Source organism: Homo sapiens, chromosome 20 (assembly GCF_000001405.40).
Source record: "Homo sapiens chromosome 20, GRCh38.p14 Primary Assembly".
Classification (NCBI taxonomy): Eukaryota; Metazoa; Chordata; class Mammalia; order Primates; family Hominidae; genus Homo; species Homo sapiens.
The window spans coordinates 36,798,725-36,818,427 of NC_000020.11; the positions used below are offsets into that span (position 1 = coordinate 36,798,725).

Below are 19,703 nucleotides of genomic sequence, written 5' to 3' on the forward strand. Positions count from 1 at the left end.
ATCTGAAAGCATATCTTACGTGGTTTCTTCCCCTTCCCCATCCTGACTCCATCCGTTAACAAATCACTTGCACACAGGGTAACCAACTCATCTTGGTTTGCCCAGGACTTTCTCAGTGTTTGCATTGAAAGTCCCATGTCCCAGAACCCTCAGTTCTAAAAAAAACTAGTAGGCTACGGCTAGGACTATTCTAGTTTTAAAAGTCAAAGTCCCAGGAACGCGCTCAGTCCCAGGCAAGCCAGCATGGGTTGGTCACCTTACTTGTACTTGAATTCATGTCTAGGGCTTTGCTTCTAAGAAACTCAACATGAGACAAACAGTAATAAGGGCAACAATGAAAATAACACTAGGCCAGGTGTGGCAGCTCACAACTATAATCCCAGCACTTTGGGAGGCTGAGGTGGGAGGATCACTTGAGCCTAGCAGTTTAAGATCAGCCTGGGCAACACGGCGAAACCCCATCTCTACAAAAAAATACAAAAGTTGCCGGGCACGGTGGCTCACACCTGTAATCCCAGCACTTTGGGAGGCCAAGGCAGGTGGATCACCTGAGGTTGGGAGTTCGAGACCAGCCTGACCAACATGGAGAAACCCTGTCTCTACTAAAAATACAAAAAATTAGACAGGCGTGGTGGTATAAGCCTGTAATCCCAGCTGCTCAGGAGGCTGAGGCAGGAGAATCGTTTGAACGCGGGAGGCAGAGGTTGCGGTGAGCCAAGATCGCGCCATTGCACTCTAGTCTGGGCAACAAGAGTGAAACTCCATCTCAAAAATAAATAAATAAATAAATAAATAAATAAATAAATAAATAAAAGTTAGCCAGGCATGGTAGAGTGTGCTCCCAGCTGCACGAGAGGTTGAGGTGGGAGGATCACTTGAGCCTGGGAGGCGGAGGTTGCAGTGAGCTGAGATGGTGCCACTGCACTCCAGCCTAGGTGACAGAGCAAGACCTTGTCTCAAAATAAGAAAAGAAAGAAACGAAGAAAGAAGAAGGGAGGGAGGAAGGGAGGGAAGGGAAGGAGGGAAATAACACTAACATCAGCAAACAGCAATGAGAGATGAAGACCATAGAATCAAACCAAGCCCCAGACAGGGGTGGGCTTAAGAAGCACTTTGAATCTTCTGGCTATCTCACTTTATTTCCATAGCTGCCTTGCAAGATGAGAAGGTCAAGAATGGTCATCCTTATTTTACAGATGAGGCCCAGAGATCAGAGGTGACTTGACTGGGGTTGTACCTGGTGGAGCCAGGTAAGGACTGGGGACTCCTGGTCAGAAGCTCTTTCCCACCAGCCACTCTGTTGCTTTCACCAGTCTGGCTTAATCGTCAGTCCAGTGTAAAGAAGAATGCTGCTTTGGGGGATTTGGTTTAAAGTGCAGGAGGCAGAAGAATGTCAGAGACACAAGAGGCTGGAGCTAGAGGGCCGGCAAGTCTCTGATGTGAGAACAACAGCAGAACATGGAACCCGTGCCCTGATGAGCTGACAAGACACGCCTGTGGGCTGACATGTTCCCCAGGGATGACATGAAGCTTGTTTCATAATTTCAGAATCATTTTAGAAACATTTTGTTGTTAATATAATAAGAAGGAATTATTCTTTTATAGACAGGAATTTGGTTTGATGGTGCAAACAGATGCATGCATCTGACCTGCTTTCCACATGGTACCTGGATGGTTCTGGGATTTGTTAGTCAGCCTGCCATCCTGCACTCCCCAAGCACAGCCTCCTAGCAAGTGTGAACCTCAAAGGAGCTCTTTACCTGCAGGAAAGTGGGCATGGCCCAGGACCAGGAACTTTCCAGATCTGGGAGTTCTGCCAGATTCTGGTCCTCTCCCTTACTCACTTTATGACCTTGGGCAAATCACTTTGCCTCAGTCTCCTCATCTGAAAAAGGGGTTTCATGAACGTGACCTTGCAAGGCTGTTGAAGTACTGAAGAGAACATTAGGAAGAGGAAATACCTAAGATCCATAAACTCATGAAAAATGCTCACCTTCAGTAGAAGTCAGAGAAATGCAAAGTAAAGCAATGAGATAGCATTTCACACCCTAACTTGGGCAGACATTTCAAAGATTGGTAATCACAGGAACTGGCAAAGATAAAGCAAAAAGGGCCTTCTTGTCCTTCTCACTGTGCAGCTGGCAGGAGGGTACATGGGCAAAGCCTTTCTAGAAGGCGGCCTGGCAGTTACCATCAACTATAAATGCATATGCCCTTGGATTTAGCAATTTCACCTCTAGGAATCTATCCTACTGAAATATTCATGCGTGTGCAGAAATATATGTGTGGAGATGTTCACTGAGGCACAACTTGAACTTTTTTTTTCTTTTTTTAGATACGAAGTCTCACTCTGTTGCCCAGGCTGGAGTGCAGTGGCATGATCATGGCTCACTGCAGCCTTGATTTCCTGAGCTCAAGCAATCCTCCCACCTTAGCCTCTCATGTAGCTGGGACTACAGGCACACATTGCCACAACCAGCTTCAGGTCACAACTTTCAATAGTGAAAAACTGGAAACAATCTAGATTTAATCACTGTAGATAACAAATCATAGTATCTCCACACTAGGAACACCAGGCACCAGTCACACTGAATAAGGAAGGCCTCCATACTCTTGTGAACAGCTCTCCAGGAAAGACACAAAGTATAAATAAATGGACATTAAAATTTGATTGATGATTAAAAAACAAACAAAACAAAACCCTGTAAATATAAATTTAAATAGAAAGAAAGGCCCAGCGACTCGGGAGGCTGAGGTAGGAGGATGGCTTGAGACCAGGAGCTCAAGTCCAGCCTGGGCCATACAGTAAGACCTCATCTCTCATAAAAAAAAAAAACAACTTTTTTTCATTAAAAAAAAATGACAAGAAAGGGAGGGAGTAGGCTGAAATGTACCTTTGTAATATGTGAACATTATATAAAGATGAAGTCCTGATTTACGTAATTAAAATTAAAAGTAAGGCCAGGCGCGGTGGTTCATGCCTGTAATCCCAGCACTTTGGAAGACCGAGGCGGGCGGATCACCTGAGGTCAGGAGTTCGAGACCAGCCTGGCCAACATGGTGAACCCCATCTCTACTAAAAATAAAAAATTAGCCGGGTGTGGTGGCACGTGCCTGTAATCCCAGCTACTCGGGAGGCTGAGGCAGGAGAATCACTTGAACCCGGGAGGTGGAGGTTGCAGTGAGCTGAGATCACACCACTGTACTCCAGCCTGGGCGACAGAGTAAGACTGTCTCAAAGAAAAAATAAATAAATAAAAATAAATAAAATAAAAGTAAGGCCGGGCATGGTGGCTCACTCCTGTAATCCCAGCACTTTGGGAGGCTGAGGCGGGAGGATCACTTGAGGCCAGGAGTTTGAGACCAGCCTGGCCAACATGGTGAAACCCTATCTCTACTAAAAATATAAAAATTAGCCGGCTGTGGTAGCACACGCCTGTAATCCCAGCTACTGAGGAGGCTGAAGCACATGAATCACTTGAACCTGGGAGGCGGAGGCTGCAGTGAGCCGAGAGTGCTCTCTAGCCTGGGTGACAGAGTGAGACTCTGTCTCAAATAAATAGATAAGTAAATAAAAATAAAAGTGAAAGAAAGGGAAAAGTCAAAATCAAGAGTGGAGCAGAGCAGCCTATGGTAGGTGGTGCCTGGCTGCATGAAGTGAACTATAATGGGGAGTGAGGGTCAATGATTGCTTTTCCTTTCCTCCTTCTTTTGATTGGAGGCCTCCCAATTTTCCCATGGGAACCACTCTTAGTTCCTCCCTCTTGGTTCCTGGGTTTGGGTAGGCTCCAGGGGTGGGCACATGACTCATATCTGGCCAATCCACTGTACTTGCTAAGCTGTAAGATATGAGCATGAAACTAACAGTGGCCATATTTGGGAATAGCTTGTTTAAGAGTAAAGCTAACACAGAGGAAAGCAGGCCTGACAGGCTGAAGCAGAAAGAAAAATCTAGTTCCCACTGCATTCTCTAAGTGCCTGGATCCAGCTATACCTGAAGGAGATGGTGTGCCAGACCTCACTGGATGAGCACCTAGATCCAGCTATACCTGAAGGAGTTCCTGCTTCTGAATCATTTCTGTAGCAACTCTCCCTTGCGGGTGGAAGCGGCTTGGCAGGGGTGGGCCTCACCTGGCTTAGGCGGTTCTGCAGCTCCTTCACCTGCTGCTCCACCTGCTGCTTCTCACCCTGCAGCCGCTCCACCAGCTGCAGCTTTTCCTGGCTCCAGTTGCGCTCACTGATCTGCAGCTGCCGAGTCAGCTCCATGACAGCGCTGTAGGACTCAGCTAGGAGGTGCTGCTGCTCCTCACGCTCCCGCTGTAGGGCTGCCTTCCAGTCGGGCCCTGCCCGCTCCCCGGCCCCCTTCCCTGTCTTCAGCTCCATCTGCGGAAAGAAGCAGACTAAGCAGCTGGCAGCAGGAGGCCACTCCTCTTGGCCCTTCTCTCTCCTTCCCTCCTGGGTGCCAGCGGGGAAAAGGGGAGAGGTCCCCTCAGAAGACCCCTCACTAGGGACTAACCCAGCTTAGTCCTCCCCACTCAGAACTAACCCCTAACCCCTCCACACAATAAGGGTTTGAAGAGCTCTTTCTATAAGCCATGCTCTTCTGTGGGCTTTTCAGGCATGATGTCAGTATCCTCATAAAAACTCAGAAAGATTACTAGTGGTCATTCCAGCAAGATGGTTTTCTTGGCCTCAAACCTCAGAGTGGCAGGAAAGGGAATGTGCAACCTTTAGACTCAATGCCCCCCATTAACCCCCATGAGCTGGTCAGGTTCTTGGTGGGAGGAGCACCTGAAATGCCCAGGTCTTTGGGGGCAGCAGGTGCAGGGGACACCGTGGAATATGCAGATGGAGGGAGCTGTGAGATCTGGAAGAGGGTTAGGAGGGGAGAGTAGTGGCCCCAGGAAGTAGCCAGGAGACTGTGAGCAGTGGGAAGAAGGTGGAATTGGGGCCGGGAGTGGTGGCTCACGCCAGTACTCCCAGCGCTTTGGGAGGCTGAGGCCGGCAGATCACTTGAGATCAGAAGTTCAAGACTAGCCTGGCCAACATGGTGCAGCCCCATCTCTACTAAAAATACAAAAATTAGCTGGGCATGGTGGTGTGCCATCTATAATTCCAGTTGCTTTGCAGGCTGAGGCAGGAGAATCTCTTGAACCCGGGAGGCGGAGGTTGCAGTGATCCAAGATTGCACCACTGCACTCCAGCCTGAGTGACACAGTGAGATGCCGTCTCAAAAAAAAAAAAAAAAAAAAAAAAGGAGGTGGAATTGGGGTCACAGGGAGCCAGGGGTTAGAGGTTTGGGGGAGCAAGGGCCAGTCTGACACTTATTAGCCGGGTGACCTTGGGAGATAAATTTAACTCCTCTGTGCCAGTTTTGTCATCTGTCCAGCAGAGACCATCGGAGTGCCTGCCTCCCAGAGGCTGCTGACGCCTGGGAAGGCAGCTTGCAGCAGGGGCAGGCTGGATGGAAGAAGCTGGAGCCCAAGCTGCAGGGTCAGAGCATTCTCTCTGAGTGGGAAGAAGCCCACCCTCTCACTTTTCAGGCCAAAGGAGGCAGCAAGTCACCCTCAGGCACACAGCAGACACCAAACCCCCAGGGCTCCTGGTTAAGGCTCCTTTGGGGGCACGCTGGGGAGTTGGGAGGGGAGGCCCCCATTTTGCGTGGAGGGAGCAAAATAGAGCCAGGCAGTTGGGGCTGAGGGAGTGCTTATGAGGAAATGAAGGAGCAAATGAGGACAGCAGGCAGTGGGGATGTGCACCAGCCTCACCTGTGAGCCCAGGGCGCAATCCCCCACCTTCCTTCCCTTCCTCTGTGACTCCCATTCCCCACCGTTTCTGATACCCTTGCTGTGTGACTTTAGGCAAGTCTCTTGCCCTCTCTGGGCCACAGGTGAAGCAACGGCATTCTTATTCCTCTAGGAGCATGGCCTTGGTATTCTACTCCCAGATCTGACAGCTAAAGGCTTGGCTGAGAGTAAGGGGAGAGGCGTCTGACAGGTGGGGGGCTCACCTGGGAGGTATGGCCCTTGAGCTCTGCCCGCTCTGTCTCCCAGGTAGCCTTGGCCTTGGCAAACTGTTGCTGAAGCTCCGTCAGACCACGGCGTTCATCCCGGAGCAGCCAGCACAGCTCCTTCAGCGTCACCTTCATGTCGGCCAGTGTCTTGATGTACTCATTGGGCTGCAGACAGGAGGCAAAACCTGAGTCAAGAGCCTCTGTGGGGTAGGGAGGGGAACCTGGGTTCAGAGAACTCACCTAGGAGTCCAGCTTGGGACTTCACGAGGCCTCAGGCAAGTCCCACAACCTCCCTAGGTCATCTCACCCATAAAATGGGAATGACAGGCCCAGCCCTGGCTACCTCCTAGGCTGACATGAGGCCCAAATCTGACACCAAGAAAAAACCCTGCAGTTACAGTAATAATTATTCAGCCTAACTCTGAGCTGAATCATCTGGCTTCTTCAAGGCTCTGCAGCGTCTGTGCCGTGGGTCCTTCTCCTCACTCAGGATCTGCCTCTCTGACCCGCTGCAGGCCAGATGTGGGGTCTAATTCATGGAGACTCCCTCAGTTTGCCTGATTCTGTCCCAAATCTTCTCTCCTGGGCCCATGCCCTCATTTCCCATCCCTACCCCAGCTCACCGTGTGTGACCCTGGGATCCTGACCCCACTGTTCTCTCTGACTTATGGCTTGATTTGAAGGTTCCTGACCCTAGACCACAAGGCCCCTCTTCAGATGACTCTAGCCTGATATCCTTACCCTTACCATGTACCTCCCAAGCCATACTCAATACCAGAACACCTTGCCACACCTTGGCACACAGAGTTCTCTTGGTCCAGAATAGTCTTTCCCCTATTCTCTATTAGGTAAACTCCTATACATCCTTCAAAACCCATCATCCATGACCCCTTCACCGTGATATTGTCCCCTATACTGCAAAGAGAATTACTTGCTGTCTTGCCTATGACCCCACAGTCCATCATCTGGACTCTGTTACTGCCCTGGGATGACCAGGCAATAACTTGCAACTTCAATGTCCAGGAATGGGGTCAGAGAAAGCAGTAGGAATTGATTACTGAGCAGACAAAGGAATGAATGGACACAACAGGACCGGGAAGGGGCTGGAAACACACCGTGTTCTGGGTCCAGCTGTCCCCCGTGCAGGCCTTGTTATCAGAATGCTGAGCGTTTATCTCCTCTTCCTCCATCAGCAAGTACAGCTCCTTCATGCTGTTCACCTGTTTTTTAAAAACCATGCTTAACAGCAGGTGGGAAGTTTTCCCAAATTTTAATTCCAACCTTGGGCACCATGTAGGTCGAGGAGCACGGCTGGATAGTCAGGCCCTCCTAGCCTCCCACGACATCTATTCTGCCCCAAAGACCAGGAAGCATCCCTGAGAGTCACTCTGAAATAACCATGTTGACAGGCTGGGTCAAGGCAGGCACTGTGGTTGAAATGAAAAGGCCACACGCACTCCCACAATGCTACATAAGGGTGACCAAAGGTTTGGGTGGACAGAAGGGACCTTGCTGGGGGGTTGGACTGCTTGCTGATAGATTCTGGGCAAGAGTCCAGGGCCAGCCAAGGAGATCAGGGACCTAGTTCAGGATGGAAATAAGACAAAAGGGAGCGAGTCACCTTCTGTGCTCAAGCAATCCTCCTGCCTCAGCCTCCCAAAATGCTGGGATTACAGGCGCGAGCCACCATGCCCAGCATGATTATGTTTATATCTTATTAATTATGCTTATTTTGGTAAATGTATATATTTCTTAATTATATATGTTATGTAATTTTCTGTGTCTCTTTATTTTTTTTTTGAGATGGAGTCTCACTGTGTCATCCAGGCTAGAGTGCAATGGCATGCTCTTAGCTCACTGCAACCTCTGCCTTGCAGGTTCAAGAGATTCTCTTGCTTCAGGCTCCTGAGTAGCTGGGACTACCAGTGTGCACCACCGTTCCCAGCTAATTTTTGTATTTTTAGTAGAGACAGGGTTTCATCACGTTGACCAGACTGGTCTCGAACTCCTGATCTCAAGTGATCTGCCCACCTTAACCTCCCAAAGTGCTGAGATTACAGGTGTGAGCCACTGCACCTAGCCAATTTTCTATGTTTATGCCCTAATTTTTTTTCCCTAAAGTAAGTTTCTCTCTCTTTTACTCTAGGATATGGAAATGGCTAGAAAGGTTTTCACCAAATGTGGAGGGTTCGTCTGAGACAAACTGACTTAAAATATAGACTGTGTGGCCTGCAGGTCATTCCCTTAAACTGGGCTTCATCCAGAGGCCTGTGAGACTTCCAAACAGGTGAGAGGGCTCCTATGTTTCCAAACGTCACAGAAGAGACAGCTTCGGACAGGAGGACCGAGGCGAATGCTCCCAGGGGCGGCCCTGTGTCAGGCACTGCAGGGCCAGGGCAGCAGGGTGTGGGCCTATGGAATGGCGGTAGTGACTCTCCCATGAGGCCCTGGGGAGGAGCTGGTGGCCTGCGAGAATGATGAGCCCCACTGAGATAGGGTGATGCAGGGTCTTGCTACACACTCAGGTCTAACTGTCTTGCCTGGCTCCTGGGGCATCTGGGCTCCTCTGGAGTACCCCTGATGGCGTAAGTGGCAACTTGAGGCATGCCAATGCTCCCTACTGGATCTGGACAGGGGACTACAGAGAGCAGCCTGGACTAGAGGAGGGCCAAGCCTGGGCTAGACTCGAGGTACCTGAACCCAAAAGGACACGGCCAAAGTGAACAATGTCAACTAAGATGAGTGTGACCAAGGTCTGACATCCTTGTAAGTCCCCTTCTCTTCCCTGATGTGTTGATGTGTGCTGCTGTGCTGATGACAGGACGCAAGGGCTTTGAGCAGCAAAGGGTCCTGCATAGACTGGGGCATGAATGGGTCAGGTGGGTCCTTTCTAAGCTTCTTACATTCCCAGAGCTCCGCCCCCACGTTTCCTGCCACATCCTAATACCACCTGTACTATCACCAATGTTTTTAAGCCAGCCTACTCCCTCTTGTTAAGTAAACATATCTTTTGGCCAGGCATGGTGGCTCATGCCTGTAATCCCAGCACTTTGGGAGGCCAAGGCAGGTGGATTACTTGAGGTCAGGAGTTTGAGAGATCAGCCTGGCCAACATGGAGAAACCCTGTCTTTTTTTTTTTTTTTTTTTTTTTTTTTTGAGAAGGAGTCTTGCTCTCTCTCCCACTCTGGAGTGCAGTGGCACAATCTAGGCTCACTGCAAGCTCCGCCTCCTGGGTTCACGCCATTCTCCCGCCTCAGCCTCCCGAGTAGCTGGGACTACAGGCACCCGCCACCACACCTGGCTAATTTTTTGTATTTTTAGTAGAGACGGGGTTTCACCATGTTAGCCAGGATGGTCTCGATCTCCTGACCTCGTGATCCACCCGCCTCGGCCTCCCAAAGTGCTGGGATTACAGGTGTGAGCCACCGCACCCGGCCAAGAAACCCTGTCTTTACTTAAAATACAAAAATTAGCTGGGCATGGTGGCATGTGCCTGTAATCCCAGCTACTCGGGAGGCTGAGGCAGGAGAATTGCTTGAACCCGGGAGATGGAGATTGCAGCAGGCTGAGATTGCACCACTGCACTCTAGCCTGGGCTGGAGTGAGACTCCATCTCGGAAAAAAAAAAAAAAAAGCAACGAATGCAGGAAGGAAGCCTGCATGCTGATGGCAGGTATGTGAGCCTAGGAGTTGTGTCAATACCAGCTGGGCGTCCCTTCCCTGTCCCTCTCTCCCCAGCCCACACTCCCAGTCCCAGTCCCTGGCCCAATCTTACCTCGAGGAAGTCATCCCCTTCGCTGGGCAAAACCTTGCCCTGCCGCCAGCGCTTGAGGAACCACCTGAGCTTCATGAAGAGCAGCAGGAAGTTGTGCTTGAATTGCTGGGACTCCTGCACCAGCATGTTCTTCTCCTGGCTCCAGAATTTCTGCTCCAGCCTCCGCTGGAGGCTCAGACTCTGCAGCTCAAACTCCCGCCTCAGGAGCGCCCTCTGCTGGTCCTCCTTCAGCTGCCGGGGGACAAGAGCTTGAGCAACCCCAGGGCCCTGTCCTCTCCCCCACCCCTTTCTGGGCCCCTGGACAGGGGCAGGGAGGAAAGTCTGGGTGGTGCCTGTGAGTGATCCCTGCCGGGGATCCCACCACACGTGGCGCAATCTATTCAGATGAGCACTGCCCTCTGCTCCTGCAAAAACAGTGACACATCATTGAAGGAGCTGGGATTTGACCCTGGCTCTAAAAAACCATGACATCATATACTGAGCACCTCCTGGGCACCAAATGTCTCACACGAATGCTCATGTTCAATGAGGAACCTGCGAGGGTGAGCGATGATAGCAGGGAGGGGTGACGCATGGAGAGCAAAGGGCGTGCCAGGGTTGAGGACAGCTGATGACTAGGCAACACCCTAGGAAGCAATGCAGTGTCATGCCTAACAGAGGGACCTGGATTAGAGGCCCAGCCCTGCCACACTCTGGATGTGCAACCCTGGGCAGAGCACTCCAGCTCTCTGGGCATCAGTTTCCCCATCTGCAAAATGGTGATAAGGGAGGGCACAAGGATTAAAAGACATAATGGGTAGAAAGTGCATTGGACAGGCCCACCATACAGTAAGGGCTTAACAAATGTTATTCCAGAACTATTATCTTGATTAGAAGCCAGGCCTGATGAGGGCACCATTTCATAAATGGGAAACTGAGGTCCTGAGAGAAAACAGGACTGGCCCCAGGTCCCACAGGCCGCCAATGACAGCCCTGTTACACAACTAATGCACAATGGCAAGGACAATAACATCCCAGCAGGGCACAGGGGCTGAAGACTCAGGTTTCCCTTGACATTCTTTCATTCTTTTTTTTTTTTTTTTTTTTTAGATATCACTCTGTCACCCAGGCTAGAATACAGTGGGATGATCTCGGCTCACTGTAACCTCCGCCTCCTGGGTTCAAGCGGTTCTCTTGCCTCAGCCTCCTGAGTAGCTGGGATTACAGGCGTGCTAGTGCACGCCTGGCTAATTTTTGTATTTTTAGTAGAGGCGGGGTTTCCATGTTGGCCAGGCTGGTCTCAAACTCCTGGCCTCAAGTGATCTGCCTGCCTTGGCCTCCCAAAGTGCTGGGATTACAGGCGTGAGCCACCACACCCAGCCTCCCCTGACTTTCTTGACTTCAGAGGGCCCATAGATCCTCAAGGCCTCTGCTTCCAGCTCAGAGAGGCTGTAGGAATAGCTGCCTGGAAAGCGCTGGGCACCACGCACCTGGACCATTTTCTGGTTGAAATTGTCGGCCTCCTCCTTTCGTAGCTGCCGCTCCTGGGAGAGCTGCTCTTGCAAGCCCCGGAGGCTGTCGTGGGCCTCAGCCAGCACCAGCTGCAGCTCCTTGATCTGTGGTACAGACAGGGGACACAGATAATGAGGAGGGAGAGAGAGGAAGAAGTGGATAGAAATTGTGATCTAAGGATGACAGTGGTAGGGGAACGATGGGATGTTGGACCCAAGCTGTCCAAATACAAATCAGGCAGAATGACTGTCCCCACCTCTGAGGGTCGTCATGATGATTAAATGAAACAGTACATATCAAATCTGGCTTTTGTTACCATTGGAACTTGTTCTTTTCTCTCTGAAATTTATCTTAATAAGGTACTGGGAAAACTAAGTTTGATTCACAAAGATGTTCATTGTTTCATTGTTTATAATTGCAATATTTTAGAAACAACTTAGATACTAAATGATGGGACTTAAAAGATGCTTAATGGATCTATACATATGTAACAATCCATTCAGTGGTACCCTTAAGGACAGTGTCCTTTATTGTATGTATGTTATTATGTTATACTACAACAGAAAGTAGAAAAACAAAACCAAAAACGCTATAGGCCTCCATAAAAAAACATACAAAGGACATGGACACACACAATAAATGTAACCAGTGGGAACTATGTGAAGACCTTCTGACCTCCAACCTTCACCCACCCTCCCCTCCTTCTCTCTCTCCCTCTCTCTCTCTCTCTCTCTCTCTCTCTCTCTCTCTTTCAACGGAGTTTCGCCAGCTTTGAGCGTGATCTTGGCTCACTGCAACCTCTGCCTCCCAGGTTCAAGCGATTATCCTGCCTCAGCCTCTCAATTAACTGGGATTACAGGCACCCGCCACCACGCCTGGCTAATTTTTGTATATTTTTGATAGAGACAGGATTTTGCCATGTTGCCCAGGCTCATCTCGAACTCCTAGGCTTAAGCAATCTGCCCACCTGGGCCTCCCAAAGTGCTGAAATTACAGGTGTGAGTCACCGTGCCTGGCCCCAGAACTCCTACATAAAACCTTCCTAGGCATGGCAAATGTCCCTCTGTGAGAAAGTAAACATTCATTATATGGTCAATAATATGATGATTTGGCAGTGGAAGGCACAGTGACTTGAGGTATATCTTCTATATCTGTTTTGCATTAAAAATTTTTGCAGGGCTACATACTGTCTGCTGTCCCTGGTTTCCTCCCTGAACTCAGTGGTCAACAGCACTGGGCAATTGTCACTACTCAATAAAGAGTGGCTGAATGAAACAAATAATTGAATGTGTGCAGGAAATCATTTTTTCTACAGGTAAGCCTATAGAATAGGCCTATTTCCTGGCAGGGCACAGTGGCTCACGCCTGTAATACCAGCACTTTGGAAGGCTGAGACGGGAAGATCACTTGAGCCCCAGAGTTTGAGGCCAGCCTAGGTGACATGACAAAACCCTGTCTCTACTAAAAATACGAAAATTAGCTGGGCATGGTGGCGCACGCCTATAGTCCCACCTAACTGGGAGGGCTGAGGCTCGAGATTCGCTTGAACTCAGGAAATGGAGGTTACAGTGAGCCAAGATCGCACTACTGCACTCCAGACTGGGCAACAGAGCGAGACTCAGTCTAAAAAAAAAAAAACAAAAAAAAGAATAGGCCTATTTCCTTTTCTTAGAAAATGACAACTAAGTTATCTCAGTTTTTTCTCTTTTTGCCATGGCTTCCAGGAAGCTCACTTAGAGAGTCTGATCCATCAGCTTCAAGTGAGCTTCTCCTTCCCACATAGTCATGGGCTGACCTTCCTGGGACTACAGAGTTGTCTTCCAAGAGATGCTCAGAAAGGTGCTCAGGCTGGAAAATACATAGGACTCTGCAAGGTTCAGGGTTTCAGGGATACTCCACCCAGTCCGTAGGAGCCTTTTCCTGCTTCAGGCTCATTATGAAGAGCAAGGAGAAGCTCAGCAGGCTTAGAAGGGGCTCAGAACTACCCAGAATTCCCTGAGGATCAAAGAATCCTAGCAATTCAATAACTACCATTCACTCTAACCCTCCCGTTACAGATGGGGAAGCTGTGGCCAGAAGGTAGAAATCTGTCCAAGGTCACACAGGAACACTGGTAGAACTGAGACTTGAACTCAGGTCCCCTGAGTCCCAGAGATGTGTCATTATCATCATAATCATCCTCCTCCTCCTCCTCATCCTCACCCAATGTGGACCATGCCTTAAGCTATGGCTTTTCATGTATTTAATCCTTTCAACAACCCTGTGAGGCACCTTCATTTTACATGTGAGAAAACTGAGAATCAGAGAGGTAAAATGACTTATCCAAGATCTCACAGCCAGAATAGAGTGGATCCACAATTGAAACCCAAACTGCCTGGCTATAGAGACTGCTGCCTTCCTGCTACATACATGAGTAGTTCCATTAAATTACATAAATTGTTAAATTCCCAGTGGAATTTAGTACAGAAGAAAAAATAATTTATGCAGATGAGTTTATAAGTTTCCTTGGATCAGGCCATGAGAATGTCCCAAACTTCCTTATTTCCCTTCTGGCCTTGGCTGCCAAGAAGCCTGGAACCAAATGGAATGCCCCAAACCCATATCCTCACCAGCTAAGTGATATATGGACCACTCTGCTTTTGACAGGGCTCAGTCACTCTCCTCCTACCCAATCCCATGCTTGCTCAGGCCTAGACCCACCTCAGAGGCATAGGAATCATTGTCTTCAGCTCGGTAAGGCCTGAAGCTCCGGCTGGGGTCGGGCTTAGAGTCCAAGTCACCAGTGCGGAAAGCCTCTCGGATCCTGGGCTCCCATTCCGGCAGGTCCCTGAAGTCAGGTGGCTGCACCCAGAGGCACAGGCAGAACAAACCAAAGATCACCATGGGGAGGGGCCCGAGGGGTGCCAGAAACACCCACCCCAGGCCTCTGCGCTCCCTAAGAGGCTTGAACCACCCACCTGAGGGCTGGGACCCTGGTAGATTCACCTCTGCAACCCAGACCCAGCCCCAGCTGGGGGCACTGCTGCCGTTTAATGAATGTTTGCTGAAAGGATGAATGAGTAGGTAAGTGCGAAGTGATTTTCTGAATGTGTGCCTTGTGCACAAACCTTTTGAGTCAGCCCAAACTGTCCTATCACATGTGTGACCTCTGTTCATCCCTCTTTCAAGAAGAACCAAAAGGGAGATAACATAGAGCAGTCTATGGGCACAGTGGCATGTGCCTGTAATTCCATCTACAATTTGAGGCTACAGCGAGCTGTGATCATACCATTGCCCTCCAGCGTGGGCAACAGAGCAAGACTGTTTCTTTAAAAAAAAAAAAAAAAAAAAAAAAAAGGCAATGTGCTTGCTTAAAAAAGCAAGATGAAACCGGATCAACAGGTCTTGAGTTAAAGAAATTATGGCACATATCCACTGTATAGTTGTTAAAAAGAAAGTGCTAAATCTCAGAAGGGCACGATGGCTCACACCTGCAATCCCAACACTTTGGGAGGCCGAGGCAGGTGGATCACCTGAGGTCAGGAGTTCAAGACCAGCCTGGCCAACATCGTGAAACCCCATCTCTATTAAAAATACAAAAATTAGCCAGGTGTGGTGGGGCATGCCTCTAATTCCAGCTACCCAGGAGACGGAGACAGGAGAATTGTAATTTCAGCTACCCGGAAGGCGGAGACAGGAGGCGGAGGTTGCAGTGAGCTGAGATCGTGCCACCGCACTCCAGCCTGGGCGACAGAGTAAGACTCTGTCTCAAAAAAAAAAAAAAAAAAAAAAAAGATAAAAGAAAAAAAGAAAGTGCTAAATCGCTCTCTTTCCCTGGAAATGAAAAATTCCCTGCCATTGCTCTGAGGATGAAGATCAAACCTCCCGCATGCTCAGTGCAGTCCAGCTTCACATTGTCTCTTCACTCAGTGTCCTGGACACACCACGCTCCTTCCGCCTCTGATCTGAGCTGTGTCTTTGCACAGGCTATTTGCTCTGCTGAAAACACTGTGTTCCCCCAGCCATCCATCCCTCTGACCTCTGGTCAGATCAGAGGCCTTCCCTCAGCATAGGGTCTAGGTCAAGTTCCTTGTTCATAAAACCATGTACGCTTCCTTCAGATTCCTCTCTCAGTGTCTAATTGCACATTCACTGACATGATATTTTGGGTGACTCTGCCCCACTAGATGATAAGGACCATGAGAGGGGGAATCATATCTGTTTTTGCTAATCATGACATCTTCAGCAGTGAGCACAAAAACTGTGTGAACAACAGACAAGGCATCATAAATTAACAAACTGATACATTGCGTTAAAAATATAAGTTGTGTAGTAACAATAGATATAAAGCAATCTGGGTGGAAAAACAAATATATGATAGATGTGTAGAGAAGGATTTAGAAGGACAAGCTGCAAGGATGAAATATTCTAGATCCACTCTACTAGACACACACAAATACTGAACATTTAAAATGTGACTATTAGGCCACACACAGTGGCTCACACCTATAGTCCTAGCACTTTGGGAGGCTGAGGCTGGTGGATCACTTAAGCTCAGGAGTTCAAGACCAGCCTGGGCAATATGGCAAGATTCCATCTCTACAAAAAAATTTAAAAATTATGGCCAGGCACAGTGGCTCACACCTGTAATCCCAGAACTTTGGGAGACAAAGGCGGTCGGATCACTTGAAGTCAGGAGTTCGAGACCAGCCTGGCCAACATGGTGAAACCCCATCTCTACTAAAAATACAAAAATTAGCCAGGCATGATGGAGGGCGCCTGTAATCCTGGCTACTTGGGAGGCTAAGAGAGGAGAATCGCTTGAACCTGGGAGTTGGAGGTTACAGTGAGCCGAGATTGCGCCACTGCATTCCAGCCTGGGTGACAGAGCGAGACTCCGTCTCAAAAAAAATAAAAAATAAATAAAAATTAGCTGGGTGTGGTGGTGCTCACTTGTAGTCCCAGGTACTCAGGAGAGTGAGGGGGGGAGAATGGCTAGAGCCCAGGATATCGAGGCTGCAGTGAACTGAGATTGCACCACTGCACTTCAGCCTGGCCAGCGGGGAGAGACCCTATCTCAAGAAAAACAAAACAAAACAAAGGAAAAAAATAAATAATAGGATCTGTGCATGAGGCACCTTACCTGAAAGTCTGAGCCAAGGTCTTTTGCCAGAAGAATCTCCTTAGAGAGCCCCTGGGAGCCCAAGGGGGGCAGTGATGAGAAGGACTCCTGCTGTTCCTTGACAGAGCACCCGAGGACTGCATCTGCCTTCCGCGTGAAGGCATTCAGCTCCTGCTGCAGCACGCTCAGGCGCACCAGGATGGCATGGATGAGCTTGGTGTCCCTGGGGCCCTCGCTGTTGTCGGGGGCCTCATGCAGCCGGAAGTCAGCACACTCGTTGTCCAGACACAGCCGGAGGCCAGCCGTGAAGCCATTGGCATCAGCCACCAGGACATCGATGGCCTTACTGACCAGGGCGGCCTGCTCTCTCAGCCCAGGCAGCACCTCGGCCTCCCTGGCTCTGCAGAGTCGGACCGCATGGGACTCGTGTGTCTCGCCCAGGGGAGCAGGCACACACTGGGCAGAGTCCCCGGCCTCGGCGTCCGTCTCCAGCATGGGCCGCGTACTCTGGCAGGAGGCGAGGTCACAGCGCTGGAGGTTGGAGAGGAGCACGCGGTTCTCGTACTGCAGCTTCTTGACCTTGCCGCTGAGCTCGCCGATCTGCAGCTTGGCGGCCGCCAGCTCCTCCTGTGAAGGTTCGCTGAGCACAGAACAACTGTCCTCCGACAGCGCCACGTCCAGCTCGTGCTCCGAGCGGAACTTGGCCAGCTCGTTCAGCAGCAGCTTGTTCTGGTCCTCGAGCTCGGCAGAGGAGCGCCGCAGCAGCTCGGCCTCCTCTTCGACAAACTGCAGGTGTCGCCGCAGCTCTGCCAAGCTCTCCCCGCACTCTCCGCCACCCAGCGCGGAGAAGGCCAGGCGTGCCTCAGGACCCCCACAGCCACCTCCATGATCCTTCATGTCGTCCATCTCAGCCCGCAGGCCTCGGTTCTCCACCTCCAGCTCCACGATGCGGCGGCTCAGCAGGTTGGCTTCCTCCTCCACCAGCTTCAGGTGCACCTTCAGCTCGGTCTCCCGCGAGTGGGGGGCATCGGCCAGCTCCTCGGCTGACAGCGCGCTGTCCAGGTCCCCATAGAGCGAGCGGTACTTCAGCAGCTCCTCCTTCATGCTGTCATTCTCCTTGGCAAGCTTAGTGAGCTTCTTGCACATGAGGGCTGACTCCTCCTTTGCAAAGTGCAACTGGCACTTCAGGTCTGCACTGTCCTCCTGGGACCACAGAGACAGACACAACCCAGGAAGGTTAGTGCTGGGAGTCTCAGTACCAGCCATGGCATTTTGGGGAGCACTATGTGCTGGGAACACAGGGATGAATCAGACACAGCCAGACCCTCAAGGAGCTAAGGGTCCGGGGGAGACGCAGAGGGGTAGATGTTGAAATGACAGCAAGGATGGGGCGCCACACATAGCCTGGGAGTACAGGAACAGGTGACATACTGATGAGCAACTGCTGCCACTACAGTTTCATCAGTAAAATGGGGCGGTAACATTACCTCCCTCCCAGAGCCACAGACGGGATTAAATGAGCTAAGGATGAAAAGGGCCTGGCACTCTGACAATCCCATACCACTAGGAGCTAACGGTATGTGGCCTTTGCTGCATATAGTACTTCATCCAATTCTTCCAATGAACCCCCAAGACAGGGATAGATAGGAAATGGAGCCCAGAAACTCAAAATGACTCGCTCCAATCACATGGCAGTCAAGTGGCAGAGCCAAGATTCAAGCCTGGGTCTCCAACTCTAGACCTTTGGATTTGACTGTAGTGCTGCTTGCTAAGTTCCTGGCTGGGGTGGGGAGCGAGCATCTAAGCATCTAAGAACCATGGGCTCAGGATGTGGTTTTGGGAAATAAAGTGGGCAGTGAAACTAAGAAAATGAGCAAGGGGGCCGGGCGCAGTGGCTCACACCTGTAATCCCAGAACTTTGGGAGGCCGAGGCAGGTGGATTGCTTGAGGCCAGGAGTTCAAGACCAGCCTGGTCAACACGGTGAAACCCTGTCTCTACTAAAAATACAAAAATTAGCCAGGTGTGGTGGTGCACGCCTGTAGTCCCAGCTACTCGGGAGGCTGAGGCATGAAAATTGCTTGAACCTGGGAGGTAGAGGTTGCAGTGAGCTGAGATTGTGCCACTGCACTGCAGCCTGGGCAAGAGAGTGTGACTCCGTCTCAAAAAAAAAAAAAAAAAAGAAAAGAAAAAAAGGAAAATGAGCAAGGGGAGGACAGGGCAGAATCTGGGATCCCCAGGCCACTTAGAGTCAGGCTCAGGTCTTCAGAATAAAACCTTCCTACGGGGGCTGCTGGGAATTACCTGCACCAAAGTCTTCTTATCGGCCTTCCCCAGGGAGCGGGTTCCTCTTTTCTTCAAGGAATGCTGAAGTGAGATTTAATTAAAAAAAAAAAAAAAAGTCAGGACTGAAAGCTCACAGAATGATGCACATGCAGAGAGCTGTCACAGTGCCCAGGGTCCAGGGAGGGCCCCAGTCCCCAGGCCACCCCACCCTGATGGCACTGACTGTTGAGTAAGAGGAGCCCTCCAGATCACCCAGTGAGCAGCAATGGGAGATAGGCCAGAAGCATTGGAGAAGATGATTCTAAAAACACCTGCTCAGGGCTCCTCCCCTCCAGCCTGCTCCCATGTGTGACCCAGTTGGCCTCGGCGAAGACTTGGAAAGCTGTGTTTCTGTTCTCATTTGTCTTTCATCAAAGGATTTCCTGAGCACCTATCAAGCGCCAGGTAGGTAGGTGTAGAGAACACAGCAGTGAACCAGGGAGGATGTTGTGGTGCTTTGCCCAGATTCCCCTTCGGAACTGAGACACTCATTCCCAGAGCTGAGACCTCAAAGCTGAGTACCTCTCCCAGCGACAGCCATTGGTTGAGGAGAACCACCTTGTCCAAGGGCAGGTGCTATCCGTGGATGGAGCCCACATCCAGGGATGGGTCCATGACCCCTTGCCTCAGCTCTACAGGGAGGGCCATCCTAGCTCCAGAGCTCCCCATGGGATCGCCTGAGATCACTGGTGTAATTCAGCTTCCAGCTCTGCCTCACTCCCTGTGGTGTTGTTCCCAAGGAGACTCTTCCATAAACCTCTGCATGCAAATCTCCATCTCAGAGAAAATCCTGTCTTCATGAAACTGACATCTAGTGGGAACTGTAATTCAGAATGAATACTAATGGATAAAATGAATATGGAGGCTGGATGTGGTAGTTCATGCCTGTAATCCCAACACTTTGGGAGGCCAAGACAGGAGGATTGCCTGAGGCCAAGAGTTTGAGACCAGCCTGGCCAACATAGCAAGACCCTGTCTCAAAGAACAAACAACAACAATA

At 50.2% G+C, this 19,703-nt stretch overlaps 1 protein-coding gene across 2 annotated transcripts in view; it reads right to left on the reverse strand.

The window, feature by feature from the left end:
* MTCL2 (microtubule crosslinking factor 2) overlaps nucleotides 1–19,703 on the reverse strand; it is an 86,092-nt gene that overhangs the window by 21,278 nt on the left and 45,111 nt on the right. For both annotated transcript variants that reach the window (NM_080627.4, NM_199181.3), the window contains exons 4-11: nucleotides 18,683–18,745; nucleotides 16,402–17,583; nucleotides 13,980–14,120; nucleotides 11,258–11,383; nucleotides 9,789–10,019; nucleotides 7,129–7,233; nucleotides 6,011–6,178; nucleotides 4,132–4,383 (exon numbers count right to left, since the gene is read on the reverse strand). In NM_080627.4, coding sequence (NP_542194.2) covers nucleotides 4,132–4,383; nucleotides 6,011–6,178; nucleotides 7,129–7,233; nucleotides 9,789–10,019; nucleotides 11,258–11,383; nucleotides 13,980–14,120; nucleotides 16,402–17,583; nucleotides 18,683–18,745 — 2,268 coding nt within the window. The remainder of the gene's footprint in view (nucleotides 1–4,131; nucleotides 4,384–6,010; nucleotides 6,179–7,128; nucleotides 7,234–9,788; nucleotides 10,020–11,257; nucleotides 11,384–13,979; nucleotides 14,121–16,401; nucleotides 17,584–18,682; nucleotides 18,746–19,703) is intronic.